Source organism: Homo sapiens, chromosome 11 (assembly GCF_000001405.40).
Source record: "Homo sapiens chromosome 11, GRCh38.p14 Primary Assembly".
Lineage (NCBI taxonomy): Eukaryota > Metazoa > Chordata > Mammalia > Primates > Hominidae > Homo > Homo sapiens.
The window spans coordinates 90,145,690-90,163,443 of record NC_000011.10 but is presented as its reverse complement, the minus strand read 5'-3'; the positions used below and the strand labels follow the sequence as shown (position 1 = coordinate 90,163,443).

Here is a 17,754-nt window from a genome sequence, read left to right as displayed (position 1 = left end):
GAAAGGTTGTTTACCTTTACTCATCAGTTTTCCAAAACTCCGGGCAATTTCTTGCAAAACAGCAACCCCACTGGTTGGGTCAATAGCTCCAAATACCCAGGAGTCCCGGTGACCTCCCAGAATAACATACCTGTCTGGAAAATAATACGTTCAAGAAACCTACAACTTTGAATACATTATAAATATTTGTAATTTATGTTTTTAAAATAAACATCCTCTTGCTTGAGTTTCCTCTATAGAAGACAACACTATAAAGTAAAATCTTCTTTTAGATTTGTACAGTTTTCCTCAAAATTTAGTAGTTTCAAATCAGCCAAAAAACCCCACTTCAATTGTTGACTACAATTTATCTTTACTTACCCTTTAATTTTTGTAAAAACAAAATGTTTTAAAAAATTATGTGACTCACCAGGTTCCACAGATCCTCTGATAGTTCCAACTACATTGTAAATCCTTGTAATTTTATTGATGTTATAAACATGCATTCTAACCTTCCTAGAATTTTAAAAGGAATAAATTACTTAGTACAGCAAATTATGTTTTTTACAGTGTTTTATTATAAAAAACTATTTTCATAATAGTGTTTTATTATGAAAAGCTGTGCAATAGCATAATGGATTCTCATATCTCTACCACCTAAATTCAATAATTGTTAACACTGTTGAAGCATTTGCAAGTAAGGTACAGACATTATGCCAATTTACTTCTAAGCACCTAAGCATGCACCTTGAAGTCAAATTTTAAAAGCTGTCTATTTTATATTATTTTCTCATAGCTAAATTGTTATTTATTTAAAATTCAAAATATTCTATTATTCAAAATGTCATATTTATTCTAAAATGTAAAAATATACCCCAGTTAATTATGAAAACGAAGAAGACAGCCCATTATGTAATAAAGAAAAAAGTATAAGCATATTATTTAAATGTATCTATTTATATTTATATTAAATCCGAGGTTCAAAAATTTTCTTTATGATTATGGAAATGATATGTAAGTTTAAGAGCTGGTTGAGTGCCACCTATAAAAAACATAAAAAATTCTGTTGTTAAATGAGAATTTGGGAAGCTCCTGCTACAATGCACAACTACATAATGAAATGTTTCTAGGCCATGATTGTTGATTCTGATTTGGGTCAGGCTTTTAAATATTCATTCATGAGTTACAATCAACCGAATTAGAAAACAAGGGAAAATATCAAGCTCAGCCAGACAGAAAAAACAAAGTATCACTCACATTTTATGAATCCAAGATGACATGGGAAAATGCTACTTTTCCCCAAGGGAACAAAATTAATCATCATTTATTCTAAAGGTAGGGAGACCTCCGTTGTTTCTAGTTTGTGATCGTTTTTTAATGGAAGAATGAATAAGCCCCCGAAACTTGTATATTGTTAAGAACAAATTCTGGCTTCCCTCACCCCCACCAAAAGTATACTGTGCTTCTGATATTTAATCCATTTGCAATATTCAACTAAAAGTACCTCAGAGGAAAACTAATCGATGTTTTTTTTTTTTTCATTTTAAGGCATTAAGTAAATGATTTCTTTTTGCTACTGACAGATGAAAATTAATAGCAGAAAAGCAGAAATATTGTTTAGCATGTGTTTCTAAAAATATGAGCCTTAGATATATGATTAGTAAGAAACCCAAATTCATCGGTATTGTGTCATTAAAAGAAGAAAATTAAGTAAAGAAAAATGCAACATATGAGGAATGAAAAAAATTGATATTAGTCTAAACAAAAACATAGGCTATCTGCTAAGATTCTCAAAGAAGCACATCTACGTCTTTAAACCTACGTCTTTCTCGTTTTTAGTATTTTTGAGCTCCAGAAGAATATTTATTTGTCCTATTATTACTTCAAACTTATCACGTTTCAAATAAACTGAACTCTAGAATGCAGGCTCCACAGGGAGGAGATTTTTGCCTACTTTATTCACTGCTGAATCCCCAGAACCCAGAATGGTTCCCGGGGCATAGGAAATGCTCAATAAATATTCATGAAATAAATGAATATAATCCTGTAAGGAAAAATTGGGAAAAACTTTGGTTCATCCATTATGGTCAACTTTACCTGTCAGTGTCCTTAACTAGACTGTTTTACAGCTCTGTAAAGAGAAGTTAACTTATAGAAACATGACAGTAATGCAAATAATTCAAATCCACTGAAATGCACAATCTGTCTAGTGAAGGTTTGTGTTCCTTTCCTCACTGTGGAAGACTTTTGGAGGCTCCACTCTGAGGTAAAATGGATTCATTTTGCAGAACCAGGTATGGGCAGCTTAAACCAATTCTTCATATCTTCTTTTGGCTCTCATATGTAAATTCTAAACAACAGTAGAAATTTAACTTTGCTGATACTCTATATCTCTAGCTTTATTTTTTCTCTACTGATGTTTTGTTTTATGTTTCTGCTTTGCTTAGGGCAAATTAAGTTAGTCCTCATTGGTGGCAGCAATGATTTGGAGTTGGCCTTTATGTCTTGTCATTTGATAATATCTGTAAATGGATTAATGGATTTTCAAGATCTCTGTGAGGTGAGACATGAGAGAATCTAGTTTTTAGTTTTGTTGTTGTTTATTTGTCCACTTTGAGTTCTAACCAATAGAGAATTCTATGCTCACAGTGAAGGAGCACAGCTATTTTATATCTAGACCTAGGAATGTTTATGTTTTTGAGTTTACTCTTTGTGACTAAAATTGTAGAACTGAAGTTATATGTTTTCTCTGTCTGTATGTTTCTGTTTGTAAATCAGAAAGGGCTTTATGTTTCATTGAGTAAGTTACATTTTCCTTTCTCTGGAGGGCATACACAAATTAGATAATAAAGTCCCAAATTAAAAGAGCACTGTTCTGATTTAATGATAGAGATAAACACATATAAATCAAACATTTATAAACTTATTATAAAACAAGGAAATTGGACTTCTAATACTTTAAAATTTCTGGAATACAAGAAATCCTACAGAAACTAAAAAATATTCTGAGAATCCAAATTCACGTAGTTAAGGGTAAATTGTTAGCAAAGAAGACTGATTTAATAATTTTGGTTTAATAAAAACAGCTATATGCACTCTGATTTATCAGTGTTACATTTCTCTCTCCCATCACATTTCAGGCAAATCAAACTTCTTGAAGTTCTGATCATGCCACGCTGTTCAACTACTCTGTACAAGCTGATTTCTCTAGTTGGCATTTCTTGCCTCCCTTTACCCAGTGGTAAACTTTTACTCTTTCTGTAAGACTAAGCTCAATAAACACACAATTTGTGATCACATCTCTTCTAGAAGAGTATTATCATGTATTAATAACAGTAATAATTGTAATATTAATTCTATTGAGGCTTATAGTCTTATAGTAACTATGTGATTTACCCATTTAAACTCATTTAACCCACACAGTAAGTGATCTATACATTTTGGCCCCCTTCTCTCTTCATCTTTACCTCTCCCTTAACTTCACCTAGTTTTTTTTTTTTTTTTTTTTTTTAGATGGAGTTTCAGTCTTGTTGGCCAGGCTCAAGTGCAATGGCGCGATCTCAGCTCACCGCAACCTCCGCTTCCTGGGTTCAAGTGATTCTCCTGCCTCAGCCTCCCAAGTAGCTGGGATTACAGGCATGCACCACCATCACACCTGGCTAATTTTTGTATTTTTAGTAGAAACGGGGTTTCTCCTTGTTGGCCAGGCTGGTCTTGAACTCCCAACCTCAGGTGATCCGCCCGCCTCAGCCTCCCAAATGCTGGGATTCCAGGTGTGAGCCACCACACCCAGCACCTTCACCTAGTTTTTCACATGTATATCATTTTGTAAGTTATTTGAAAAACTATTTTTAAAAAATAGCTGAAGAGAGAATTTTGAAAAATCTTTGAAATGTTAAACCTATATTCAAATATATTAATTTTTGAGATTCTGTGAAACTAATATTGTGATGCTGCTAGTGAAATAATTCAATATTTCATGTGTAAGTACTTCTTAAGTAATGTAAAATGGTTGTTTAGAAAGAGAAAAAGAGATAAGCAAAATACCCCTGGCAGAACAGTTATCTTGACATGTTTCCATTAAAAATATAAAACTTTTTCAGACTATTAAAGTAATGCAAAATTACCTGAAAGAATCACTCCCTGTAAAGCCAGGTCCGATACTATAACTCACATTAAGGGCTCCCTTCCAACTCTTATCTGGTGGAGCAATTCCTCCCAAGTAGCTGACAAAATAAAATGAAAGTGACAGAAAAAGGCTACCACAATTTCTAAGGAGAAATTTTAAAGTTTGATGACAATATTTCATTCATATATATAACAAATATTTGTCATTTACTAAGTGCCAGGTACTGTCAAAAAGCCCGCCCTTTGTGGAGCTTATTTTCTAGCAAGAGAGCCATACTGAAATCAGTAAGTAAAATACGTAATATGTTAGTGATGAGAGCAAAGAGAAAAAATAAAGTAGTCATGGCAAATGGGAAGGCTATCTCCTTATTTTTGACCTTAATTATTTATGTGGGGACTCACTGAATCCAAGATATCCTAAATACAGGAAATTAATGACTGCATTAAGGAGAAGAAATGTATTTGTAAAAAAGCTGCTGATTACACAGTAGGCACCCAAACAATTATTAAGTTGTAATACACATACAGGCATTTAAAAATGGGAGTTGGGGGATATGTAAAGAAATATCAGTTATAGAATACAATAATTGTTTGTTTACTATATTCTAAATACGGTGCTATGTATTTTACTCATATGATCTTATAATAACCCTATCAAGGAGAAACAGTTACTAGCCTCATCTTACAAATAAAGAAACTGAGCTGGAGAAAGTTTAAGCAACTGATCCAAGGTCATACCTCTAGTAAGTGGGGGGCATTGTCATATTCTTATACTAGACGTTGAATATAAATATCTAATGAATACCTATGAAAATTCAATTGCTTGAAAAATCTCAAATCAGAATTATCTTAGGACATAGCTTTGTATTTGAGAATTTCATTTGTAGCGAACAGAGCGATATTTTATTTTGATTTCTTAGTCACTAAAATGACTACTTTTATGAAATAAAAAGATAGTATACTCTGTTATTCCTATTTCAGGAGTTATTTAGTTATAAAACTTTGTGTTTAACATAAGAATGCCATATTGGTTTTCAATGAGAAAATAGACAACTAGTGCAAAATATCTTAATCTCATATCCAACAAGAAAACTATACCGTAATAATATTTCTGCATCATTATATCCAATGGGATGTACAGGTATTCGGGGGATTCCCACTCCTTCTTCAACATCAAGTCTGAAAGTGTATTCTAAAAAAATCAAATGCATAAAATGAAAACAATTTAAAAATCTGAGCAAGAGATATACAGGGATTTTTTGCATAACCGTTGCAGATTTGCTATACATTTGCAATTATGCCAAAATTAAAAGTTCCTGGCCAGGCGTGGTGGCTCACACCTGTCATCCCAGCACTTTCGGAGGCAGAGGTGGGCGGATCATGAGGCCAAGAGATGGAGACCATCCTGGCCAACATGGTGAAACCCCGTCTCTACTGAAAATACAAAAATTAGCTGGACGTGGTGGCGCATGCCTGTAGGCCCAGCTACTTGGGAAGCTGAGGTGGGAGAATCGCTTGAACCCAGGAGGCAGAGGTTGCAGTGACCCGAGATCACGCCACTGCACTCTAGCCTGGAGACGGAGCAAGACTCTGTCTGAAAAAAAAAAAGTTCCCCAAAAGTCAGACAATTGTTTTACCTAATACATCTTTATTTAATAAATCATTTATATTTTAAGGTAATGTTAATTATAGAGATGGCAGTTTTCCAAATTTGTTTTGACATTTCACATAATTTTCTTGACCTTTACAAGAATATTTTATTTCCTCAAGGATCTCTTGAATCTTTCTTAGAGAAATGTTATTAACCAGATGCTTAGAAAATGTGTCCCAGATTCTGAAACTATAAATAATTGGAAAAAAAACAAGAGAACATATGCAATCTTGGGAAAAAATGAGAAACATCTTATTCAAATAGTGATATATTATCATTCAAGGAAGATTGAAAAGTATTGCCAGCCTTAAAACCTCATTGGAACTGTGACTTTCAGCCAAGATAGAGTTAAAGGGACCAAATTTACCTTCATGCCTGAAACACCTTATTTTTTATTCACCTTATTTTATGTAAATGAAACACTTTAAAAATAATAAAATATGTAAAATAATAGTTCTATCATGAGATTTTTATTATGTAAGTAGCTTCATGAGATAATTGACTGCTGAAACAAAATTGTAACAATATAATTAGATAGTAAATCAGTAAGTATATAAGACTTTCATAACACTATTAACTAATTTGACCTAATTGACATTTATAGAATACTCCAACCAAAAACAGAATATACATTCTTTTCAAGTGCATATAGAATATGTATTACAGAGACCATATTCTGGGCCATAAGACATGTCTCAGTAAATTCTCAGTATGTTCTCCGACCTCAGTGGAATTAAATTAGAAATCAATATTAGAAAGATACCTAGAACATCCTCAAATATTTTAAAATTAAATAACACATTTATAAATAAACCATGGGTCAAAGTAGAAATGAAAAGGGAAATCAGAAAGTATTTGGAACCAAATAAAAATAAAAACACTCAGCCTAGGCAACACAACAAGACCCATCTCTAAAAGTAAACATTAAAAAATTAGCTGGGCATGGTGTCACATGCCTATAGTTCCAGCTAACTTGGGAGGCTGGGGCAGGAGAATCACTTGAGCCTGGGAGTTTGCGGTTACAGTGAGCGATGGTTGGACCACTGCACTCCAGCCTGGGTGACAGACAGGGTGACAGAGTGGAATCTTGTCTCTAACATAAAATAAAACCACAATATATTAAAAACTGTAGGATGCAGCTAAAGTAGTGCTTATAGGGAGAGGTATAGCACTAAATAATCCATCGTAGAAAAAAAGTTAAGTTTCTGACAAATGACATCAGATTCCACTTTCAGAAACTAGAAAAAGAACAAATAAAGGCCAAAATAAGCAGGAGAAAGCACATGATAAATATCACAGCAGACATCTAAGAAATAGAAACTGGCTGGGTTCCTGATGGCTCATGTGTGTAATCCCAGCACTTTGGGAGGCCAAGGCAGGAAGATTGCTTGAGTCAAGGAGTTTGAGACTGGCCTGGGTAGCATAGCAAGAGCTGTCTCTATTTAAATTTAAAAAAAGAAATAGGAAACAAAAATAATAGTAAAGATAATCAATGAAACCCAAAGCTAGTTATCTGAGATCAATAAAACTAATAAACTTCCAACAAGACAGATCAGGACTAAAGGAGAAATGACTAAATTGCTAACATCAGGAATAAAGGAGAGAATATCACTCTAGTACCTGCAGACAGAAGAATAGTACAAAAATATTATAAACCACTCTATGCTCATAAATTCAGCAAGTTAGATGAAATGGACAAAAATCTTTGAGAAAATGCAAACTACCAAGGCTCACTTGAGAATAAATAGATCACATATACATTACATATATATTACATATTATATAATATATAATATATATTACATATACATTACATATTATATATAATATAATATATATAACATATATATTACATATATTACATATATATTATATATTATATATGTGTAATATGTATGTAATAATACATATTACATACATAATACATACATATGTAATAATACATACATATGTATGTATGTATTACATACATACAATAATAATACATACATATGTATGTATGTATTACATACATACAATAATAATACATACATATGTAATAATTATATATATATTAATATATATGTAATTTATATGTAATATATATTATTACATATATATTACATATATATTATATATTATATATTACACATTATATATCATATATAATATAGCATATATAATATGTAATTATATATAATTATATATAATATATTATATATAATATATACATGTATATGTAATATTACATATTACATATTATATATTATATATTACATGTATAATATGTAATATTACATTATATATATTATATATTACATGTATAATATGTAATATTACATATTATACATGTAATATATAATATATATAATTATACATTATATATTATATATAATATATACATTATATATACATATATGCATATATAATATATACATTCTATATACATATATTATACATGTATATAATATATACACACACATATACATATTATGTATATAATATATACACACATATATACATATTATGTATAGGTATATAATATATATACACACATATATACATATGTATACGTATATTATATATACACACATATATACATATGTATACGTATATAATATATATACACACATATATACATATGTATATGTATATAATATATACACACATATATACATATTATGTATATGTATATAATATATACACACATACATATTATGTATACGTATATAATATATACATATTATGTATACGTATATAATATATACATATGTATACGTATATAATATATACATATGTATACGTATATAATATATACATATATTATGTATACGTATATAATATATACATATTATGTATACGTATATACTATGTAACATTACATATTACATATATTACATATATATATATGAAATTCAATTTGTAGTGAAAAACAGTTCTACATAAAACACTTCAGGCCCAGATAGATCCCTGGAGAATTCTACCAAATATTTATAGACAACATTGAACCCATTCTTTATAAACTCTTGCAAAAAAGTGAAGATGAAATGGTTCCCAACTCATGCTAAGAGGCCAGCATTTCTTTGATACCAAATGACACAAAGATATTACAAGAAACTAAATCTACAGGTTAACATCCCTTATGACCATAGACAGAAACATTCTTAAGAAAAATATATCAAAAATTCAACAATATATAAAAGGATAATACATTGTCACCAAATGGGATTTATTTTAGGATGACAGGGTTGGATTAACATTAAAAACATCATATAATTTAACAAAAGTAAATGATAACATATGATCATCTCTATGTGCACAGAAAAAACATTTGGCAACATCCAACATATATTTCTAATGAAAACGCCCAGTATATTAGGATAGAAGTAAACTTCCTCATTGTGACAAAGGGAATGTATAAAAAACCTAGAGCTAACATAATATTTAACAGAGAAAGACTGGATACTTTCCCTGTTGGAACAGAAATAAAAAGCAAGTATGTCTGTTGTAACAACTTCTATTCAACATTGTACTGGAGTACCTCTATAAAATGTATATACAAAAAAGAAAGAAAAAAAATGTCCTGGAGGGTCTAGCCAGTACAATAAAGCAAAAAGAAGAAAGAGAGAAAGAAAGAAAGAGAGAGAGAGACAGAGAGAGAGAGAGAGAGAGAGAGGAAGGAAGGGCATGTAGATTGAAAGCCAAGAAATAAAATTATCTTCATTTGCAGATGACATAATCATGTATGTAAAAATGCTGATAGAAGCTACAAAAACCTAGCAGAATCGATGGGTTTAACAAGTTTGCAGGATACAAGACCAATGTATTTCTTCTAGAAATAGAATAATGCTTTCATTTCCTAGTAAAGAAAAATTGGTATTGAAACTTTACAATAGCATAAAACTATGAAATGTTTGTGGATAAATCTGACAAAAGGTATGTGTGATTCATACAGTGAAACTATAAAACTCTGCTGAAAGAAATTAAAGACTGCAAAGTTGTATTTTATTTATGGATCAGAAAATTCAATATTGTTAATTCAATTCTCCCAAATATTGCCAATTCTCCCCAAATTGATTTATAGATTTCATTCAATCTCAATCAAACTCCCAGGAGGCTTTTTGGTGGCAATTGTAAATTAGTGCTAAAACTCATATGGAAAGGACCAAAATTAGACAAAACGTTTTGAAAATAGAAGAGTTGTAACCTGGAAGTTGTATGCATCTGTTAGAATGTAGAATTGAAAAGACTGACATACTAAATGTTGGTGAGGACATAGCAAATAGAACACTCATACATTGCTGTTGAAATATAAAGTGAAACAACTTCAGAAAACAATTTTAAAATTTCTGTAAAAGTTAAATATCCAACTAACCATAATATTCAGGCATTTCACTTCCAAGTATTTCCCAAAGAGAAATAAAAGAACATGTACATACAAGGTCTTGTACAACAACTGTTCATTACACCTTTATCTGTAATAGCCCCCACACTGAAAGCAATCCAAATGTCCATCTACAAGTAAAGGAATAAACTGTGCTATAGCCATTCAAGGGAATACTACTCAGCAAAAGAAAGAAAAACTATTGACAAAGATGCCAACATGGACAGATCTCAAAATAATCATGCTGACAGCAGAAACCAAGATGAATGGTTGCCTAGGGATTGGATGAAGTGGGAAGGAAGAGTTGGGAGGGTGGGAATATAAAGAGACGAGAGGAAGCTTTTTTGAGATAATGGGTATGTTAATTATTTTGATTGTAGAAATCATTTCACATATGTAAAACTTCCAATTTTATGTTTTAAATAACACAAAAACTCATTTTTTTAAAAAATGTAATTCAAAAATACAATCTATCGATAATTCAATCTATCTATTGTATTTTTAAAAATACAATCTATCGGTAATTCAGCAAACCTAAATTGTCATTTGTTAAAAGGAGCATTACTTTAGGTATGAGGATCAGTATTTCTGAACTCTAATAAAGGAAGAAGGAGAGTATGAACTGAGTGTTTACTCCCCATGCCGACATCTCATGAAAATTTAAAACTAAAATAATACAAGAGCAAATGTTTTAAAATTCCTAGCAGCAGTAATCCAAAATGATATAAGTGTACTCAATTTTAGTTTAATATTATTCTGAACATGCTTGCTTGTATTCCTTCTAAAAGGGCAAGGAGTATTTTTGCAAAATTGGTGGACTGATAGGCTCATCCCTTACCTTTTGCTGGATAGCCTGGAGTGAGTGGGTCACCAGCACCATTCAAATTTAACACATTTCCTCTCTGGGCTGCAGTTCCAGGAAGATTCCATCCTTTGGGATATGGCTGTACCTCAGGAGCAAAGTAGTCAGCTGGATCTGAGTACAAGATGATTCCTATGGCTCCTGCTAACATGGCATTTTTAACCTGCAGGGGCAATGTGCAATTCATAATGCAGATATGGCAAATGGTTGGCTTATTCATATAAGAAAGACATTAATTTAATAATGGAAGGATATTTAGACACTGCCTTTTACCATACAATTACACATTCAGTTCTCTTGGCTTTGAACACAATTTCCCACCTATTAGACCTAACAGACTTCCATTATTCCATGGAAATCTAAACGAGTTATCATTTCTTCTGTGAAACATTCCTATTACAACCTGCAACTGTAGAATTCATGTCCCTTCTTTGTAGTTCTATATTTTCTATATTATAGGATAGCTCTTAATGTATTAAAACATCTATTAAATATCTATCTCTCCTATTAGGCTGAGGGTGTTTTTGAAAACTTGAACCATGTGTTCTTAATTTTAAACTACTGCCCTGTAAAATCTCGCACATCATAGAGTAAGCATTCTACAAATATTTATGGAACTAAACTCATTTAAAATTGTATGCAGAGCAGTCATATTTGTGAAAAACAGCCCAGGGTTTTTGTAAACATCTTTCTAACAATCCAAACTGGCCAAAAATAGGAAAATGTACCCTGTGAGATACTAAATTCTTCTTCACCAAAAGTATTGTAGCAGAAGATGGATAACAGTCTTGATTCATAAAAATGCATTCCAATATTTAGAGAACACCCTGTTATATCACTAAGAGTATAATCTGTCACAACTTTTTGAAGGAAAATTGATGATGTCTATCAAAATTTTGAAAGAATATACACTATTATTTAGCCATTTAATTTCTATGAATCTATACTACAATAATCTTCACACAAATTTCTGGAGCATATATGGACAAAGATGTTCACAATTAAATTATTTGTAATAGTAACAAATTCAAGATGAGACAAACATCGTCAGTAGCGGAATGGTTAAATAAATGGCTTATCAATTCTGTGAAATATGATGCCATCATTTAAAATACTGAGGTAATTAATAAGCAGTTATATAGAAATTACTAAGTACCAGCCACTTTCCTAAGTGCTTTCAAACAAAGTCATTCAATAAGGACTCTATGAGATTGGTGCCCTCGTCATTCGCATTTTATATGTGAGGAAACTTTGCAACAGAGAAGTTAAGTAACATGCTCACAGTAAAAGATCTAGAAAGAATAGGAGCCAGACTAGACAAGAACCCAGGTGATATGGATCTAGGGTTCTATACTCTTAACCAATGTATTACATAACTCTCAACATGTGGACATGAAGAATATGAGTCATGGCTGAATGAAAAAAAATAAAGTCTTATAATATACAATGTAAAAGTAAATAAATAAATATATGTAAAATGGACATATAGGGACAGATGTATTTATATGTCACAGAATTAGGTTTGAAAAAAGCTATTAAGATTGATTATATCTGAATAATGAAGTGGGTAATGCAGAGAAGCTTTTCATTTTTTACTTTATATAAATTTCCTTCAATTAAATTTCTAAAAGCAAATATTACTTTTATAATAAAAATGATTCAAAATAATCTCCTTTTCCAGGTATGTAAGAAAACATAAAAACATGAGTTTCCGTGTACCCATGGCAAATAGGAAGAAAAAAAGAAAAGAAATGTTTGAAAGCAATTTGGAAACAGAGAAGCAAGTTGGTCATTTACATTTACAGAATATATATATCCTCTCATTCTCTGTAGAAAAACAAATAATACTGTACTTTATTTCCTCTGAAGATTTTTCCATATCTTGCAATAACAATCTTCCCAGTACAGTTGATGCCCATCTCTCTTTCTAGTTTGAAAAAGTCTTCAGTGCGAGCATAGTTCACATATACAAGATCTCCCTATAGGGAAAAGAAAATATATATAATACTGCTAAAATTAAAGAAAAAAAAAAACAAAAAATAAGTTTGCTTCACAATACTACATCATCAAAAGTGTTTCCTTTCTTTATTTGGGGAGTAATAAACAGACCCACAGTAATTATGCAGAATTCATTAGAGAATCTTTTAAAATCCTGAAAAGTTTAAAAAACGACAATGTATAAGAGTTATTTATTTATTTATTATTTTTGAGACGGAATTTCACTGTCACCCAGGCTGGAGTGCAGTAGCACTCCCTCGGCTCACTGCAACCTCCTCCACCTTCTGAGTTCAAGTGATTCTGCCTCAGCTGCCAGAGTAGCTGTGATTACAGACATGCGCCACCATGCCCAGATAATTTTTGTATTTTTTAACAGTAGAGATGGGTTTCACCATGTTGGCCAGTCTGGTCTTGAACTCCTGACCTCCAAAGATCTGCCCGCCTCAACCTCCTAAAGTGCTGGGATTACAGGTGTGAGCCACCACACCCAGCCAGACATATCTAAACAGCATGTCCTGTGTTGAAGAAATCATCAGTGTATACAAAGCCACAGGGAATAGAGTAAATAAATGTCATTTTAAAGATCCTAACTATATTTATTTAATTTCCAACCATTGCATTAATTTAAGAACCTCTATGGTATGATCTATAAAATCCTATCTATGAATCCATAAAATATTCAAATTATGAAAAATGGAAAGAAGCTTGTAAAAACACCTACTGCTGGGCGGAAGCGGTAGCTCACGCCTGTAATCCCAGCACTTTGGGAGGCTGAGGCAAGCAGATCACCTGAGGTCGGGAGTTCGAGACTAGCCTGACCAACATAGAGAAACCCCGTCTCCACTAAAAAAAAATACAAAATTAGCAGGATGTGGCGGCATGCACCTGTGGTCCCAGCTACGCGGGAGGCTGAGGCAAGAGAATTGCTTGAACCTCGGAGGCAGAGGTTGCAGGGAGCCGAGATTGTGCCACTGCACTCCAGCCTGGGTGACAAGAGCGAAACTCTGTCTCAAAAAAACAAAACGAAACAAAAACAAAAACAAACAAACAAAAAAACACCTACTGCCTCACTGAAAGGCATGTTCAGCAGTTTGTTATTTCAGAGAGTGGCAACTGCTTCAGCAGGGTCAGTTTTTAATGTATTTGTTTTGTTTCTTTTTTCTCTGGTGTTCTTTTCTATTTTATTTTATTGTAATTTTTTTAATTTGAGGGATGAGGTTTTCATAGTACTGAATATCAAACAAGGAACCCGCATGAATGATTCACCTAATTTCCTTGGTTTTAGTCCTCCATACAGGTTTTACATAGCAAAAGAACCATTTAAAGACTTGGATTACAAAAGTATTTTATTTTACCTCTGGCATGCCTTGGGCTGAGAAAGCATTATATGGTGGCACAATATTTGTAACATTCTCATAGCCATCTGGTGGTGGTTCAAGGTATGATGTTTTGAAAATCTAGCAAGAATTAAAATATGTCAAGTTAGAAAAATTCCAGATTATTATTAAGATATAATTCATTTTGCCTCCAAGTATATACTTCAGATTAAGCATCCTGGAACAAGGTTCTGTAATAGATAAATTACACTGACAACAATGAGAAAGAGCCTTATCATTATTATTGTCTTCCTAACAATAGAAACTTTTATAAATGCATGCAATCCCAGGTAACCAAAAGTTTCCTTATAAAGTGTAACAGCAGAGCTTCAAAGGTGGCACTTTGGTGATCCTCTTTTTTTTGACTATGCCTTTTCAGCTTCCTTTGTGGGCTCCTTTTCTTTCATCTTTATTTAAATAATATTTCCCCATGTTTTATCCCCAGCCCATTGCTTGCCTCTGTACTCCCTCCCTGCGACACTTCATTAAGTATCAGAATTTTACCAATAGCTAATATGCTTATGATGCTTACCTTTTCAGATTCATATATTTAAATGTTTGGTGGTTATTTCATCCTGGATGTCCAAACTCAACATGTTAAAATTCAAATTTATCATCTCTCACCCTGGGCCTGCTTTTGATCTGCATTTCCTACCTCTATTAATAGCTTCAGTCATTAGCCACCCACACCAGACAGTCTCGGAGTCATCCTGAACTCTATCTTCCCCTCCTTCCCCAAGTCAATCACTAATCAAGTCCTGCTAATACATTTCCTTACTATTTCTGAAATCCATCCCTCATCCTCATTCCTACTAACATCCTAATTTAAAACTTTATTATCTTTTACCTGGACTATTGTCTTAAGACAACAACTTTAACCCGTTGCTTAGCCTAGGTGTGATCCATAGAGGACGTTGTCTATCTAAAATGCCCCTCTAGCCACATCCTTCCCCTGCTCAGGACTTGTCATTGGCTCCCGTGAACTGAAGTTGAAGTTTAAGCTCCCTAGGACAGCATACACGCCCTTCTATGATCTGTTCCCAGAACATATTTACTGGTTTATCTCATATCGTGGCCTACTTCATATTTTACACTTTTGAAATACAGAAAATCATTACATTCTCCCAATAAAACTAGGCTAGTATATGCCTCCAAGCATTTGCCAATATTTTGTCTTTTGTTGAGAATTTTCTTAGCTTATTTTGTCACATGGTTAACTCCTATGTCCTTTCATGACTCACGTGTCAAGACTTCAGGAAACATTGTCTAACTCCCAGGCTGGGCTGAGTGACCCTTTTCTGGGTAAATAATGAATTCTAATCATAATCTTCATAGCACTTACCATACTAATTTGAGGTCTGAAGTATTCCATTGTCTGCCTCAACTTACTTAGGCAAAGGAACCATGCCTTAGTCTTATTCTGGCCTCAGGACTTAACACCATGTCGAACACATAGTGGATACTGAATAATTCACTATTAACAAATTTCTACTTTTACTTGACCCTACATTACAATCCACATAAAACGGTCGGATTGCAAAATATAAAAAGTACCAACAATTTCACATACCTCAGTTTCATGTTCATCCACAATCGATATATAGTTGGCATTTGTCTCATTGGGGTAAGATAAGAGGACATCATAATGAACCAACTTGGCTGAATCTAGTCCAAATTTCTTCCACTGGGTTTGGATTTTCTTGGCAAGCAAGAAATTTTGTTCTGTTCCTGCCAGATGAGGAAGCTTTGTAAAAGAACTAAAATGAAAATAAAACATAAGAGGGCATTAAAGACTATGCTCAGACGATGTGCCTAAGAACTATTCTAAATGCACTACTTATGCATTGGGCATTAAGTTGTCATTCCTATATGACAGATAAAAGAAACACAGCTAATGCTACCAGTTTCTAGATAGGCCAATTTTTAAGTTATTTGTGTACAACTGCAGTTTTCATATTATGCTTCCTCAGAAAAGAACACATTTCATGGTAGATACAATCAGCAAAGGCTCAGATATGAGATGACACCCTGGAAGAATGTCATACTTCTATACCAATAATGTTCCTTTTTGCTGTTTGTCAGAGAACAGAGACATTTTGGAAAAAAAAAATAGATCTTAACCTCTCGCAGGGACCACTTGGGCACTTCCATGTTTATCTTATATATTTCTACTGTTGATTGTATCATGTATGCAGTTGCTTATTTATCTCATTGATCTCAAAGTCCATGCATTTTTATTTTTCATATCCCCTAGTGCTTAGTTCTTGCCTTTTACCCAAAATGTACAGGCTTGCTGAATTTAATTTGGGCAGTGTTCTCTTGGTTTTGGATGTAAATGAGTTGTAACATTTAAGTGACCCCACAAACATAGTTCTTAGTGAGATTTATTTTACTTGGGGTGAATAATATTTTTAAAGTCCCTGGCCAGGCATGGTGGCTCACACCTGTAATCCCAGCACTTTGGGAGGCCGAGGAGGGTGGATCAACTGAGGTCAGGAGTTCAAGACCAGCCTGGCCAACATGGTCTTGAACTACCCCGTATCTACCAAAAATACAAAAAATTAGCCAGGCGTCGTGGCGGGTGCTTGTAATCCCAGCTACTTGGGAGACTGAGGCAGGAGAATTGCTTGAATCTGGGAGGCGGAGGTTGCAGTGAGCCGAGATCATGCCAATGCACTCCAGCCTGGGTGACAGAGTGAGACTACATCACAAAAAAAAAAAAAAAAAAAAAAAAAAAAAAAAATTAAACTCCCCCACCATCAGTAGAACAAAAATAAACCCTTTTTTAATTTTTTTTTTTTTTTAGTTAACCGGATGACAGCCACAAAATATACAGCAGTAGAAGGAAATTAACATGTATTGAAAACCTGTTGTATGACAAGCACTCTACATTCACTTTCACATGTGTTTTCTCATTTAATCATCACAATCCTTCTTCTGTCATCCCCATTTTGCAAATGAGGAGACTGACAGAGTGACTGAATAATCTACTCATAATTTTACAGCTAATAAATGCTGGAACTGGAATCCAAAATTGTAGTTACCCGATCCTGAGAAATAGTGATATTTCTAAATAATTCATCTGCTGTTATTACCCATGTGCTTAAAACTCTTCTACAACTCCCTGTACCCTGCATTAGAAAGTCCACACTCCAACATGGCATCTAAAGCACTTTTAGGTTAGGTCCTGTCTTCTGTCTTTTCAGGTTAATTCCACATCACTCTCTTATAAATTCCTCTACTCTCTGTCACTGAGTATACTTATTTTTCTCATAAAATGATTATGATCTTTAATACCTTTTAGCCTTTGCACAATGTCTTATCTCAACCAAAAATATTGTCCCATCTACCTGAATCTCCCTCTATCACCACTTCTAATCACTCTCCTTTCTCATCT

At 33.0% G+C, this 17,754-nt stretch overlaps 1 protein-coding gene across 8 annotated transcripts in view; it reads right to left on the bottom strand.

The window, feature by feature from the left end:
* NAALAD2 (N-acetylated alpha-linked acidic dipeptidase 2) overlaps nucleotides 1-17,754 on the bottom strand; it is a 61,196-nt gene that overhangs the window by 29,451 nt on the left and 13,991 nt on the right. For 5 of the 8 annotated variants that reach the window (XR_007062427.1, XR_007062428.1, XM_017017043.3 and 2 more), the window contains 8 exons: nucleotides 15,928-16,114; nucleotides 14,337-14,438; nucleotides 12,837-12,962; nucleotides 10,960-11,146; nucleotides 5,206-5,299; nucleotides 4,107-4,205; nucleotides 410-495; nucleotides 15-134 (listed from right to left, as the gene is read on the bottom strand). Coding sequence is in view for 6 of the 8 variants with exons in the window: in XM_017017043.3 (XP_016872532.1) it covers nucleotides 15-134; nucleotides 410-495; nucleotides 4,107-4,205; nucleotides 5,206-5,299; nucleotides 10,960-11,146; nucleotides 12,837-12,962; nucleotides 14,337-14,438; nucleotides 15,928-16,114 (1,001 nt within the window). In the remaining 2 variants the exon portion in view is untranslated. The remainder of the gene's footprint in view (nucleotides 1-14; nucleotides 135-409; nucleotides 496-4,106; nucleotides 4,206-5,205; nucleotides 5,300-10,959; nucleotides 11,147-12,836; nucleotides 12,963-14,336; nucleotides 14,439-15,927; nucleotides 16,115-17,754) is intronic. The other 3 variants (XM_047426168.1, NM_001300930.2, XM_017017046.3) reach the window with 2 other exon arrangements.